A 14,623-nucleotide genomic window follows, 5' to 3' on the forward strand; every position below is an offset into this window, starting at 1 on the left:
CAACCCAAATCTTGAGTGGCTTCTCTTCTCATTGCCCACAGAGTCCAGCTAGGACCCAGGCTTTCTACAATCCTCCTACCCAACCTCCTTATCTACCACTCCCTGCCACACTGTACCTTTATTTGGTCACTGAACCCCTGCTTATTCCATTCTGTCAACCTGCATCTCATTCTCCTCCCATCATTTTTGCTTGTCAGTGTCCTGCCTGACCTCCTGGGCCAACCATGAAGCTTTCTCTGGTACCCCTTTCTACTCCATCGTACTTTGATCATGCCTCTCTTGGTGCCCATATGTCACTGTGTTTTATAGTATATGACTAGTCTGTGCACCGATTACCCCAGCTAGATCATGGTCTCCCTGAAAGAGGGACGGGTCTTAGTCATCTCCGGTGATATACCAGTAAATGTTTGACAACTGGTTCTGTTGAGTGGGGAGCTGAGCCTTGATTTGTAGTGTCTGAAAATTCTCATATTGTAAATGGTCCCACCATTGTTGATTTTCAGCTAATAATATGACAAGACTGAATGTGGAGTTGGGAAGAGACTCACCTAAGCAGCTCTTGAGACCGCATATGACAGGCTCTCCAGCACACCACCGTCTGAGCATCCACAGCCGTCAGAATGGCATCTTACACACATCAGGCACTCCTTTTGTGCTTGCTAATTGATGGGCAGATAGATTGGCAGACAGGTTATAGGCTTTAGCAGTGGTCCAAAGATGAGGTGGGGAGGCCCTGGACTAAGAGTGGAGCAATGGTGTTGAAGAAAAAGTGTTGATGACCTTGTAAAGTTTTTAATTACAATTATTAGACAGCTTAGATACAGATTGGGAAGAGTGAAGCCAAGTCTTAAGGTATGAGAGCCTAGGACCTTACTCAGATGGAGTGGGGGAGTGGGAAGCTTAAAAATTTGATTTTGAACACACTGAATTTGAGCTAATAGACTTCCATGTGAAGATATGCAGAATCTTGGAAATGTGGAATAAACTTCAGGGGCAAAAACCAGGCTGGAAATAAAAATTCTCAATGTCATTTGTTTGTTTTTATTTGAGAAAAATCCAGAAACAAATGAGAACAGAAAGAGGAAGGTAGAGACCAAATATTTGAAGTTTTTCATTTTAAACATGTCAAAATTATCTCTAGCTTTTTAAAACTCAGTATTTACAACAAGTGATTCAAAATTCAGGAGTGCTGAATGCCAGTGATTTATCACTTATGATGAAATAAAAATATCCCAACACAGAAATGTTTAAGTGAAATAAACTGGTATGTTTTTAATAATTGTTTCATTCTCTAATAAAAAAATGGAAAAATCCTCAAATTGTCTACAGGTTAGGAAAAGGTTTCTATTTCACTGACTTTAGAAATGTTTCCATTACTTTTATTTATTTATTTATTTATTTATTTATTTATTTATTTTTTGCAAGGCAGAAGAATTTTTCTTAGTACAGAACAAAATGGAGTCTCCCATGTCTACTTCTTTCTACACAGACACAGCAACAATCTGATTTCTCTTTCCTTTCCCCACACTTCCCCCGCTTCCACTCGACAAAACCGCCATCGTCATCATGGCCCGTTCTCAATGAGCTGCTGGGTACACTTCCCAGATGGGGTGGCGGCCGGGCAGAGGGGCCCCCCCACCTCCCAGACAGGGCGGCTGGGCAGAGGCGCCCCCCCACCTCCCTCCCGGACGGGGCGGCTGGCCGGGCGGGGGCTGCCCCCCACCTCCTGGAGGGGGCGTCTGCTGGGCGGAGACGCTCCTCACTTCCCAGATGGGGCGGCTGCCAGGCGGAGGGGCTCCTCACTTCTCAGACGGGGCGGCTGGGCAGAGACGCTCCTCACCTCCCAGACGGGGTGGTGGTCGGGCAGAGACACTCCTCAGTTTCCAGACGGGGTCGCGGCGGGGCAGAGGCGCTTCTCACATCCCAGACGGGGCAGTGGGGCAGAGGCGCTCCCCACATCTCAGACGATGGGCGGCCGGGCAGAGACGCTCCTCACTTCCTAGACGGGATGGCGGCCGGGAAGAGGCGCTCCTCACTTCCCAGACTGGGCTGCTGGGCAGAGGGGCTCCTCACATCCTAGACGATGGGTGGCCAGGCAGAGATGCTCCTCACTTCCCAGACGGGGTGGCGGCCGGGCAGAGGCTGCAATCTCGGCACTTTGGGAGGCCAAGGCAGGCGGCTGGGAGGTGGAGGTTATAGCGAGCCGAGATCACGCCACTGCACTCCAGCCTGGGCAACATTGAGCACTGAGTGAGCGAGACTCCGTCTGCAATCCCGGCACCTCGGGAGGCCGAGGCTAGCAGATCACTCGTGGTTAGGAGCTGGAGACCAGCCCGGCCAACATGGCGAAACCCCATCTCCACCAAAAAAATACGAAAACCAGTCAGGCGTGGCGGCGTGCGCCTGCAATCCCAGGCACTCGGCAGGCTGAAGCAGGAGAATCAGGCAGGGAGGTTGCAGTGAGCCGAGATGGCGGCACTACAGTCCAGCCTCCGCTGGGCATCAGAGGGAGACCGTGGAGAGAGAGGGAGAGGGAGAGGGAGACTGTGGGGAGAGGGAGAGGGGGAGGGGGAGGGGGAGGAGTCCATTACTTTTTAAAATAAAGCAATAGATTGTTTCTTGATGTAACCACAAAATTAGTGCTAAGTCAGTGTGACACAAACAAATGAAATGTGAATGAACCCTTCCTCATACCATATTCAAAAGTCAATTCCAGATGGATTGAAAACCTAAACATTGGCCGGGCATGGTGGCTCATGCCTGTAATCCCAGCACTTTGAGGTGGGCGGATCACTTAAGGCCAGGAGTTTGAGACCAGCCTGGGCAACGTGGCAAAACCCTGTCTTTACCAAAAAATTAGCTGGATGTGGTGGTGCACAACTGTAGTTCTAGCTATTCAGGAGGCTGAGGTGGGAGGATCACCTGAGCCTGGGAGGCAGAGGTTGTAGTGAGCCGAGATCGCGCCACTGCACTCCAGCCTGGATGACAGAGACCCTGTCTCAAAAAAAAAAAACAAACAAACAAAAAAAAAAAACAAAAAACTAAACATGAGGCTGGGCACAGTGGCTCGCGCCTGTAATACCAGCACTTTGGGAGGCTGAGGCGGGAGGATTGCTTGAGCATAGGAGTTTCAGACCAGCCTGGGCAATATAGCAAGTCCCCTATCTCTACAAAAAACATTTTTTTAAATAGCTGGGCATGGTGGCTCATGCCTGTAATCCCAGCACTTTGAGGGGCTGATGTGGGGGTTAAGGGGTTGGCTTGAGCCCAGGAGGTTGAGGCTGCAATGAGCCGTGATCACACCACTTTACTCCAGCCTGGCCAACAAAGCGCAAGACTCTATCTCAAAAACAAAAACAAAAACAAACAAACAAAAAACCTAAACATGAAAGGCTAAGGTGGGAAGATAACATAGGAAGATAACTTTATAACCCAGGAACAGGAAAGAGTTCTTAAACAGGACACAGAGTGCTGCCAATAAGGGAAAAGATTGCCAGACTGTATTTAAGAACACCTGTTTATCAAAATACGTTAATAAGGTGAAAAGGCAAAAGAGTGGAATATAACTGAGGATACACACACCATTGAATCTATTCAATACACAGGACTATCCAGAAGAAAAATGGACAATAAATCTGAACAATTCACAAAACAAATCCAACTGGCCAATAAATATGAAGTGATACTCAACACATTAGGATATAGGGAAATGCAAGTTTGAACCTCAATGAGATACCATTACTCACATATCAGAATTTCTAAAGTGTTTCAATTTTTGTAACTTCAAGTGTTGTTGAAGATGGGAAACTGCACTGTACAATGGTACTATAACTTTGGAAGAGTTCAGGCTTATCTCTGCCGAAGTTGAGGTTAGGCTTTCTCTATCACCCAGCACTTCCAACAGCAGGCTGTGCGCGTGGACAGGAGGATTCTGGCAAGGAATGTTCGCAGCAGCACTATTTGTAATAGCTAAAACCTGGAAACAACCTAAATGCCCATTAATAGTCAAATGGATTTTTTTTTAAACTGTGGCATATTCATACAGTGAAAAACTACAGCTGCATAAAACCACAGATTAACAACAGATTTGAACAAATGAAGACATACTACAGAGGGAAGAAAAAAAACAAGGACATGATCACCGTAAGGGTCAAGAAAGTGATCATCTTTAGAAGGGAGTTGGGACCCAGGAGGGACAGGTTGGCTTCTGGGCTGTAGGCAATGTTCTCTGAGTGACTGGTTGCACAGGTGTTCACGTTGTAAAAAGTCATGAAGCTGCACATTTATTTTGTTTACACATACAACATAACTTATGTTGTATGTTCTTATATGTTCGATTCACAACAAAAATGTTTTAAAATAATCTGAAATATTAGATCACTGCTTATTTTTAAATGTATGGCATATACCCCTTGAAAAGAGCGTTCTCATTGTGAGGACTTTAGAGAAATTCATTTTCTTGAGAAACAAAATTTGGTTAATGAGTGTTTCTCATTAATAATCTATACATCAGGATTAAGAGCTGATTTTATTAAGGTCTACCCTACCAAAAGCTTTCCCATAATAATCCAAAATAAGACGTTTTCCTATTTCTATATAAATTCCTTTGCATGAGACATTTGTTTATTAAAACACTTAAAATTGTATTTGGAATAAACCACCTAAAGTGGTTTGTTCTGAAAAAAAAAAAAAAAAAAAAAAGCCTTTTAAGAACTTGGGTCTTTTTGTTGTGGTCATTTAAAATCAGTATTTTAGACACTCCACTCGCTCTCAGTGTAGAGAGAATGTATTCGATTGCGTGTTGGAACTACGTGTAGACAAAACGATCGCGGTTAAAGCTTGCGGCTCAGAGCCCACCTGGCCGCGCTGCTGGGAAACGGACGGAGCGGCGCTTCAATCAGAGGTGAAGGTGCAGCAGCTGCTTAGCTGGCTTTGGTCCATCACTTCTGGGGACTTCAGATTCTCAAAATCTTAAATTCTAAACCCCACAGGAATGCAAATCTGCCCACCTTTTCCCACATAACTCTACCGTCGCTCAAACTCTTCCTGGTACCAGCGGGGAAGCGGAGGAGACCCAGGCAGGGGCCCGCGCTCGCTCGGCTGCAGCCCGACTCCCCTGCGCTCCCGGCCCAGGGCCGCGTCCCGACGGGGAAGTGCGCTGCGCCCGGGCGCCCCCGAGTGGAGGGGGGGGGAAGGAGGGAGCCGGCGGCGGGCGGGGCGGGGCGCGGTGACAGCCGAGCCGGGCCCGCCCCTGGCTCCCACCCCCGAGCCCACAGCTCCCGCCCGCCCGCGGCCGCCCGGGAGCTCGTCCAGCCCCGCGCTGCGCTCGCCCGCCCGCTGCCCGCCGGAGCACCGCGGCCTCCGCCCGCGTCCATCTGCCCGCCGCCCGCGCCTGTTCCGCAGCCCGCGTCCGCGCCGGCCCCACAGCTCTGCGTCCGGGTAAGCCCCCACCCCGCCTGGGGTCCCCCTCGCGCTCGCGGGGCTCCCTGCCCCCGCTCCGGGGCCTCAGCCATATCTGGGCAAAATATTCAGCTGTCGCCGCCGCCGCCAAGAGGGACTGAGCGTGGCTCCCTCTATAAATAGCTGCCGCCTCGGGTTGCCTCTGGGGCTAGGGAGCCCGGGTCTCGGGGTTCCGAGCCCAGCGCTCCCGTCCCCGCCTCCCCGCGCGCGCAGCCCTGGCCAGGGCGCCCTCCGCTCTGGACCTCCGCACCGCGTCTGTGAACGCGAGAAGGACCCGGGGTTCTGGAGGAGACGGCGCCCCGGGCTGGGGTCCTGGCGGAGGGGCGCCCCCGCCACCCGCAGGACTCCAGCGCGGCGGGGCTCTGAGCCCGCGGGGTGCTCAGCTGGGTACAGGTGCCAGCCGGAGCTGGGCTCGGGGGCGCGGCCTCTTCTCCGCCTGCAAGAGTCTGGGGGTGGGAGTGGGGGAGTAAAGGCTCGACTGGACGTGGATCCCAGGTTCGCGCTGAGAGTGTTTGGGGCAGGTGAAGTTTCCCAAACTGGGAGAGACAAGGTTTAAAGCACCACGACACGCGCTACGCGGCCAAGTGGAGCTGGAAAGAGCTTGGAGGCGGGAGCCCCAGGTTGTCGCCGGCTCTCGGCATGGCCTTGGCAATCCCCCTCTTGTTTCTGGATCTCAGTCTCCCATTTGTAGGGGCGAGGTTTGGTAGCCGCGATGGAGCTGGGAGCCCAAGCCCTGAGAGCTGCAGGGCGCGCTCTTGGCCGCCTGCGCTCCCCACACCTGTTCACCCTCTCCGGGCCTGGGACGCTGGGGTCCCAGCCGCGCACATGCGGAGACGCTGCAGAAATCGGAGACTGACTGCCCCAGACTCGATCGTATCCTGGGACTCACTAAGGCCGTCGGATATCCTAAGCCGTACAACCCTAGGAAGTGCACTTTTGGGGTGCCTATGGGCATCTCTCTGCTCCGTAGCCGGCAAAGCAGCCTGTGAGCCACGCAGCTTCAGATGCGATGAGCTGGGCAGGGGCAGTGGTTCCAGTACAGCCGCTCCCTGGCCACAGTTTCCCGGTCTATATCGGGCCTATGATGCGTCCTCCAACCTGCGCAGCGCCGCCCCCTCCTACACCCTTCACCCACCGCTACTATTACAGACCCTGTCTCCAGCCCTCGCCCTATGCCCTCAGACTCTCGGAGACGACCTGGCCCAAGCTCCTCCGTGTCTGAATCGCAGAACCAGACCCTGAACCCAGGTGCTGGGCCCTCAGCGTGAGAACCCCTAGGGCCCCCACCCCATCTTTCTTCCAGAGGTGACTGCCATTTTGTCCTCTGTGCAGGGCCGCAGAGCCCCCTGCTCAAGGTCACACAGGGCCGGTCACGCCAGAAGTTCTGCAGTCTCCCAGCCTTTCCCATCTCTTTCCGCACCCTTCCCACTGCTCAGGCAGGTCCGGGAGCTCTGGGAGCACCCGATCAATGCCCCCTCTTCTTGAATCTGCTGCTGTTCTGGACTTTACCTTGTCTGGACAATAGCGCCCTCATCCTGAAGTTTCCTTTTTGCTTCTACTTTACTTTCTGTTATGTGTTTTTTTCTAAAGCCATCTCAAAGACTTACAGAAAAAAGAATTAACGGGAAATGGAGTCAGATAATAAAGTTTCCATCAGTTAGAGCCACACAACCAACAGGCAGAGTGAAAACAAGAATACTGTCACTTTGGTGTATTATCTTTAATGAGCTAGTCTTACAAACCCGTGTTTTAGAGAGTCATTGACCCTTGAGTTTCTCCCAGCCTAAGATGAAAGCCAGTGTCCTCTAAAAATAGCCTCCGCCCCACCTTATCAGGGTCTCACACCTTCTCCCTCCTTCAGGGTAGGGCGTTTTCTTGCAGCTCAGCAAAAACAGAAAACACAAAGTAGGTGTGGCAGCTCTGAGCAATGGGAGGTGGACTGGCCTGGAGGTTAGGATATCTGGCTCCAGCCCCAACTCTGCCACCCACTCAGAGGAACCTTGAGCAATGAGGGGGCAGACAAGGTGGTCTCTAGTGGACCTGGAGTGGAGAGGGCTTAGAGTCTTCCTTGGAAGCCTTTCTAGCATGACCCATCCTGTAAGGAGGAGCTGGGGAAGGAGTGAGAGACAGTGGCTTTCCCAGGTGCCAAGGGAGGACAGAGGTGGGCAGTGTCACTTGCTGTGGAGAGACAGGAGTAGGGGGATGAGGACTGGGAAAAGACCATCAGGATTGGCAGGGATCATGAGTGACTTAGACCAGGGTATTGCAGCAGGCTCAAAAAATGAGATCTGCCAGTGACCCAGCCTGTCTGAGCCTCGTTTTCTCCTCATACAATGGAGACAACAATAGCCCCATTTCATAGGGGCTGCTTGTGAGAATTAAGTGAGATGATTCAGGGCAAGCCCTCAGCCCAGAGCCTGATATTGCAATGATAGTATTCGTTGTGGTGAGGGGGAAAGGCAGGAGCTAACAGGAGCTGAAGAAGTTCTCCACTTCTTCAGGCTGTAGGCTGAAGAAGGCTCTCAACAGAGCCAGCAACTCTTTCTAAAAGCTTGGATGAGAAAGGAAGGGAGAGGGAAGGTAGCAGGAACTGAGGACAAGGAACAGAAGGGAGGCAGGCATTCTAGGATAAAGAGTATGGCAAGTAGTGAGAAGAACCCAGGAGAGGGGAGAGAGTTAAAGGGGAATCTAAAAGGTGTGCCCATAATGAGGATTGGGGACCTTCCTTAGTGACTTGCAGAATGTCACAGACTCTGCAGGTGGCCTTCATCCCCTGGAATGAGCAAAAAAAGGTAAAACGAAGCAGATCCTGGCTCAGACCCCTATGTCTCTGGCAGACCAGTATCTGCGATGGAGGATGGTGATGGGCTGTGAAGAGTGTTTTGACCCTGCTCTGGGGCCTCATAACCTTGGCTTATTTATTTCTGAAATGACATCATCTATCGATGACTCCTGCTGAGCCCGGTCGTAATGGCCTTTTCCAGTCAATGTTTTGACTTTTCAGTCTTACTAATGGACCAGCCAGGCTGCCAACATTTCTAAAGAGGCCAGTTTACTTTTCCCTTAAAGCCAGAACACCAGATAAATCAATTATTGGGCTGCTAGGAGCCATTATCAGTTTAAAACCACAGGCCTGTTTCTATGGAAAAGCATGAACCAGATAGCACAATTCCGGGCCATTTCCTCTCTTTTGTTTTGTTTTGTAAAATCTTCCTTTGGCTAATCATGATAGAACCTAATTCTCTTTGCTCTTAATGAGAGAATGAGCTCATTGGAGTCAACTTAGGACACGGTCTGGGAGGTTTTCTTTCGTGTTAGGTGTTGCTGGGTTTTTGTCTGATCTGAAAAACTAAACAAACTCAAGCATGCCTTTTGTTTCTCCTTCTCTTATGTCCTTTTGGTTTTCTTTCAGAGAAAAAAATGATTTGTGAAAGGGTTGGACATTACCATCTGTGAGGAGGAAAGAGGGAGGGAGAGGGAGACAAGGGCTTGCGTCCGTCCACGCATGTCCATCCCTGTCTCAGTTCATGTTCTCAGGGGCCCCAGCCTCAGGCCCCACTCACTCTGGGGCTTCAAGGGTGGTGACCCCAGGGCCGTTTCTAGCGATGATTCTGGAGGGTGATGAGTTGTGACCACTGCGTTGTTGCTCTCCATGCCCAAAGGAATGAAGGAAAGCAGAACTGCCTCTGGGCATCCTTCAGCCTCCTTCATAGACTCATCGCTGCTGCCCATCGCTTTGCTGTTGGTGCCTTGGTGCCACTCCTACCCCTATTCTCTTTCCACCGCACACTCTCACAGTCTCATTCACTCCCACGACTCCAGTCACCTCCCAACTCCCTAATTCTTGCATCAAGCTGGACTGTGCTCCTCATCTATAGACATCTCTGCCTCCTGATTCCTTTCTCTTCACCACCCCATTCATTTGCCCACCAAGTCCTGTCAATGCTACCTTCCTTAATTTCTCTTACATCCATTTCTATCGCCACATCCAGTACCCCAGTAAGGACTTCCTCTCTCCCCTAAGCTGCTCTCAGAGCCTCTTAAAGGTATTTCTGCCTCAAGTCATTCCTTCTTCCATGCTGCTCTTAAAAGATCTTCACCTGCGTCAATTGTCTCCCTTCAGGGACTCCCCATTTCCTAAGGGATAAAGACCAGATTCATTAGCCTCTAAGACCGGGCCTCAAGCTACTTCTCCAAAATCATCTCTAGGCACTCCTCCAAATTCTCTTTACCTTCTGGCCATGGCAAAAGCATGCTGTGCCTTCATGCCTCCCTGCCTTTCCCCTGCTGTTCTTTCGGCCTTCAGTGCTGTTCTCCCTCTTCTCAGTCTGTGAACTTGTAATCACCCTTAAAAGCAAAGTTCTTCATTGATTTACCTGTACCCCCACAGCCCCCTGTGCCAACTCAGAGCACCAGCCAGAGTGTGTTCTAAATGGAACCACCCAATGATGTATCTCTGTCTCTGGCTAGACTAAAAGCTCCCTGAGGACGAGGTTTCTGACTCATTTATTTCTGCTTCCCCATGTGCAGCTCAGAGCTTAATGTGTGACATAGTACAGGCACTTCAGGTTTTAATAAATGGCTGACCACCGAATGAATGAATGAATGCATGAAATAAATGAATGAAGGCTCTGTGATAACCAGGACAGTCACACAACACCAACCAGCATTTACAGCATGTTCTCCTACCCGACCAAATCATCAGCTCTATGAGGGCAGAGACCACACCTATTCTGCTCCCCACTGCCAGCTCTCCAGCTCCTATCAGCCCCATCATGATACGTAGCTAGTGTGAATCCAAGAGCTCATTTGAAATTCACAGTAACCCCATGAGGGAGGAACAGCAAGTATTGTTACCTACCTTTTGTAATGGGACAGTGAACCCTAGTAGGAATTGTCCCAGGTCATCCAATTCCAGAAAACTGAAGTGCTCTCCAGGGTTTGACAAACTTGAGAAATGAGTCTTCTTGTTTTATATCCGTGCTTCTCTAACTTTAATGTGCATTGAAATTACTTGGGATCTTTTCAGAAATGCAGATTCTGGTTCAGTAGGTATGAGATGGGGCTTGAGAGTCTGAGTTTCTAAAAAGCTCCTTGCTTCTAATAAGCTCTAATAAGTTGATTAGAAAATAAACTTAATAATTCCTAATAAGCTCTAATAAACATCTAGTCAGGTGGTGTTGACTAGTATCTACAAACCACCACATTTTGAACACCAAGGTGAGTGCTAGTTACCACAAAGCTTCCTCCTGGCCATTGCATTAAGATAGTGGATTTTTAAATCTACAAATGAATTCATTTGTGCCTTGGATCAAAATCAAGGGCTCTTTCTGGTCAGCAAACTTCTTGCAAGTTTGGATCTATGAGCACAAGATGGGTGCCTGGGCAGTGCTGGGATGGGAACCTGAGACACCTGAGACCCTGAGACATCAAAACCACTCAGAAGTGTGCAAAGTGAAGGTAAGAGAGAGGGAGACGTGAGGACAGACTTCCTCCATGCAAACCAAGAGAGATTTAAAAATTCAGAATGGATAGCAACATTGCACGCATTTGCTTATTATGGTTTTACATTGTATTCCACTTACAGCATTAAAAAGGCTTGAGATGGCTTAAAAAATAAACTACATGACCAATGCAACTAGTAAGAACAGAAATTCTAGAAAGACAGGCAGAAACCCTGAAGATTAAGATCACGAAACTCCTGGAGAATCTGATTAGAGCTTATGAATTCTTGCTCCACAAAAATGAATATATTCATATACACAACAATTTGCATATCATTTCAGTGGGTGTGTGATTCCCCTGAAGCCTATTCAAAAGTCCGGGTTAAGAGCACCCGATACAGAGAATAAAGAGAGAAAATTATGCCAGTGCCCTGGCTGAAGATGACAACTGTATTTGGACACTCAAATTGGCTCTGAGATGACTCATGGCAGCCAAGGGGAAAGGGGGGGACAAGATGAATGGGAGGACTCTTGGTGTCTGATAGTAGAAGGAAGAACATCAATCAGTCTTTCAGGAGAGGGAACTATTTTCTTAACCCCAATCCTCAGTATATTGTCAAGACAGGCCACTAGACAGAGGGCATAGTAGTTAAGGCGGACTCCGGATCAGTCTGCACAAGGCCAGGGAACCTAGGAGCAATGAAGGGCAGACTCAAATCCTTCATTAGTCCTTTGGGGGGCCTTAAATAGCAATTGACACATAATGAAACACAATCTATCTTCCTGATTCACACACACACACACACACACACACACACACACACACACACACACACAGACTCTGGAGACCACCTTGCTGGATTCAAATCCAAGGTCTACTAGTTACTGGCTCTGTAATCTCAGGTAACTTTTAACATTTCTTTCTTTCTTTTTTTTTTGAGACAGAGTCTCGCTCTGTCACCCAGGCTGGAGGGCAGTGGGGCGATCTCAGCTCACTGCAACCTCCGCCTCCCAGGTTCAAGCAATTCTCCTATCTCAGCCTCCCGAGTAGCTGGGACTACAGGTGCACACCACCACACCTGGCAAATTTTTGTATTTTTTAGTAGAGATGGGGTTTCGCCATGTTGGTCAGGCTGGTCTCGAACTCCTGACCTCAGGTGATCCACCCACCTCGGCCTCCCACAGTGCTGGAATTACAGGTGCGAGCCACCGTACCCAGCCAACTTTTAACATTTCTGTGCCTGGTGTCCCCATCTATAAACTGGGGTTGTTGTGGGGATGAAATTAGTTCTTATATGTAAAATGCTTAAGACGTGCCTGGGATATTATGTAAGCGTGAGCTGTTATATTATGGGAAGGTGGCAGCATGGAGTACTGGTAATGAGTACTGATGGCCTGCCTGGATGTAAATCCTGGCTCTACCACTTATTAGCTTTGTGACCTTGGTCAGTGTACTTACTGGGTTAAACAGGGTCCCCCCCAAAAGTCATGCCCACCTAGCACCCCAGAATGTGACCTTTCTCTGGAAATATGGTCTTTACAAATGTAATTAATGAAGTTAAAATGAGGTCACACTGGATTAGGGTACGTCCTAACTACCCTATGACTGGTGTCTTAAGAAGAAGAGTGGACACACGCCCTTAAAAAGGCTTGAGATGGCTTAAAATAAACCTATATAGGCAGCATAACTAGTAAGAACAGATGATGATAGAGTCAGAGATTGGAGTGATGTGGCTGCAAACCAAGGACTGTCAGGGATGGCCAGCAGACACCAGAAGGTAGGAATGAGGCATGGAACAGATTCCCCGTCAAAGCCTCCAGATGGAATCAACCCTGCTGACACCTCGATTTTGGACTTCTGGTCCTCTGAACTGAGACAGAGTAAATCTCTGTTGTTTTAAGCCATCCAGTTTGTGGTCATTTATTATGGCAGCCCTATAAATCTAACATAGTCTGCACTTCTTCATCTGTAAAATGGGGATAATAAAAGTATCTGCTTCACAATTATTAAGACTGCAAGAAATAATCCATGTAAAGAGCTTAGCATTGTGCCTGGTATGCAGTAAGAACAAAACAAAGCTTCTATTATAAGGTACAGTGACAAGTGGCCAACAGTAGCCTCAAGGATGGTGTTAATAGTAGTCTGTTGTATGTCTCTAATTTATTTACTCAATGTCTTATTGAATTTTTATGCCGTTTTGGGGGTTTTGGGTTTTTCTTCGCTAATAGAGGTTTTTTTTTTTGTTTTTTGTTTTTTTTTTAGACAAGGTCTCACTCTTTCACCCAGGCTGGAGTGCAGTGGCTCACTGCAACCTCCACCTTCTGGGCTCAAGTGGTCCTCCCCCAAACCCCAGAAGCTGGGACCACAGGTGCATGCCACCATGCCCAGCTAATTTTTTGTATTTTTAGGCGAGACGGGGTTTCACCATGTTGCCCAGGCTGGTCTTGAACTGAAAAAGGGTATACCAATGTAACTTCTCTTCTGTGTGAGGACACTGGTCTCCCCACATCTTGTCAACACTGGGAATTCTCAGACTTTTAAATCTCTGTCAATCTGATAGAACTGATATCTCCTTCCACAATTTGCTTTTTTATAATTATAAGTGAGTTTTGTTATTATTTATATGTGTATTAGCCATTAGTATTTCCTTTTGTGTGAACTGTCTATTCCTCTCCTCTTTCCACATTTTCTGGCCTGTTCTGTTTTTTTATTGGAGGAACTCTTTGTCTATTAAACAAATCAGCCTTTTGTTTAATATGAAGCAAATATATTTTCCCCCAGCTTGCCGTTTGCTTTTTGGTATTGTTCGTATTAATTTTCATATTGGTTTTTTGGAAAATACAAAAACATGTTTCATAAAGCTCTATCTTACATTAACACCTGCTATGAGGCTATGTGATGAAGTTCATGTTTGTAAAATGGAGAATGAGGATAGGAATGAATTCCACAAGCTTTCCTACAAGTTAGCTTTTTTTTTTTGACACTGAGTCTCACTCTGTTGCCCAGGCAAGAGTACAGTGACACAGTCTCGGCTCACTGCAACCTCCACTGCCCAGGTTCAAGCGATTCTTTTGCCTCATCCTCCCGAGTAGCTGGAATTACAGGTGCCCACCACCACGCCTGGCTAATTTTTGTATTTTTAGTAGAGATGGGGTTTCACCATGTTGGCCAGGCTGGTCTCGAACTCCTGACCTCAGGGGATCCACCCACGTCAGCCTCCCAAAGTGCTGGGATTACAGGCCTGAGCCACCACACCCGGTCTACAGGTTAGCTTTTATTCTACAAGTGCTTTTGACTTACGGCTATCAAAGCTAATAATAATGCTAGGCATTTATTCATTCATTCATTCATTCAACGAATATGTCTTCAGCACTGGACAGGTGCAGGGCTTTGTGAAGGACCATGGGAGACAGAGATGTTTGTCCTCAGGTAGCTTTTAGTCTTGTGGGAGTAGGGGTGCCTGAAGATAATGCAATAACTCCCAAAGAACTCTGATGGCCTCTCTTGTTTGTACTACAATCGTTAGCTTCCTAGAACTCTCTTCTGCTGGTGTGGAGGGAAATGAAATGGAAGGGGCAGAGCGTGGGGAGAGCTAAGTGTGGCCTGAACCAGAAAAGTTGCAGAGACATAGGAGGAGTGGAGTGCAGCATGGTTTGAGGGCAGGTGGGCAGGCCAGCTGAGACAGGGAGATGTCTTCAGACTCTTTTCCTGGAACCCT

At 48.5% G+C, this 14,623-nt stretch overlaps 1 protein-coding gene across 2 annotated transcripts in view, besides 3 other annotated features; it reads left to right on the plus strand.

Annotated features, from left to right (window-relative positions):
* TMOD1 (tropomodulin 1) overlaps positions 4,816–14,623 on the plus strand; it is a 100,564-nt gene continuing 90,756 nt past the window's right edge. Inside the window, exon 1 of one of the 2 annotated variants that reach the window (NM_001166116.2) lies at positions 4,816–4,903. The gene's annotated coding sequence lies outside the window, so the exon portion shown is untranslated. Of the gene's footprint in view, positions 4,904–5,301; positions 5,440–14,623 lie in introns of those variants that run through there. The other variant, NM_003275.4, reaches the window with a different exon arrangement.
* Positions 5,119–5,838: a silencer, noted in NCBI's record as "silent region_20101". NCBI's record gives its function as "represses an Ori minimal core promoter by ATAC-STARR-seq in GM12878 lymphoblastoid cells {active_cell/tissue: GM12878}" and the evidence as "EXISTENCE:reporter gene assay evidence [ECO:0000049][PMID:35858748]".
* Positions 7,225–7,369: an enhancer, noted in NCBI's record as "145 bp enhancer 268 fragment used in the MPRA reporter construct; PK_construct_4103". NCBI's record gives its function as "activates an SV40 promoter by MPRA in K562 cells {active_cell/tissue: K562}" and the evidence as "EXISTENCE:reporter gene assay evidence [ECO:0000049][PMID:23512712]".
* Positions 7,288–7,305: a transcriptional cis regulatory region, noted in NCBI's record as "GATA motif; enhancer activity is reduced when this motif is scrambled". NCBI's record gives its function as "necessary for full MPRA enhancer 268 activity {active_cell/tissue: K562}" and the evidence as "EXISTENCE:site-directed mutagenesis evidence [ECO:0005528][PMID:23512712]".

Source organism: Homo sapiens, chromosome 9 (genome assembly GCF_000001405.40).
Source record: "Homo sapiens chromosome 9, GRCh38.p14 Primary Assembly".
Classification (NCBI taxonomy): domain Eukaryota; kingdom Metazoa; phylum Chordata; class Mammalia; order Primates; family Hominidae; genus Homo; species Homo sapiens.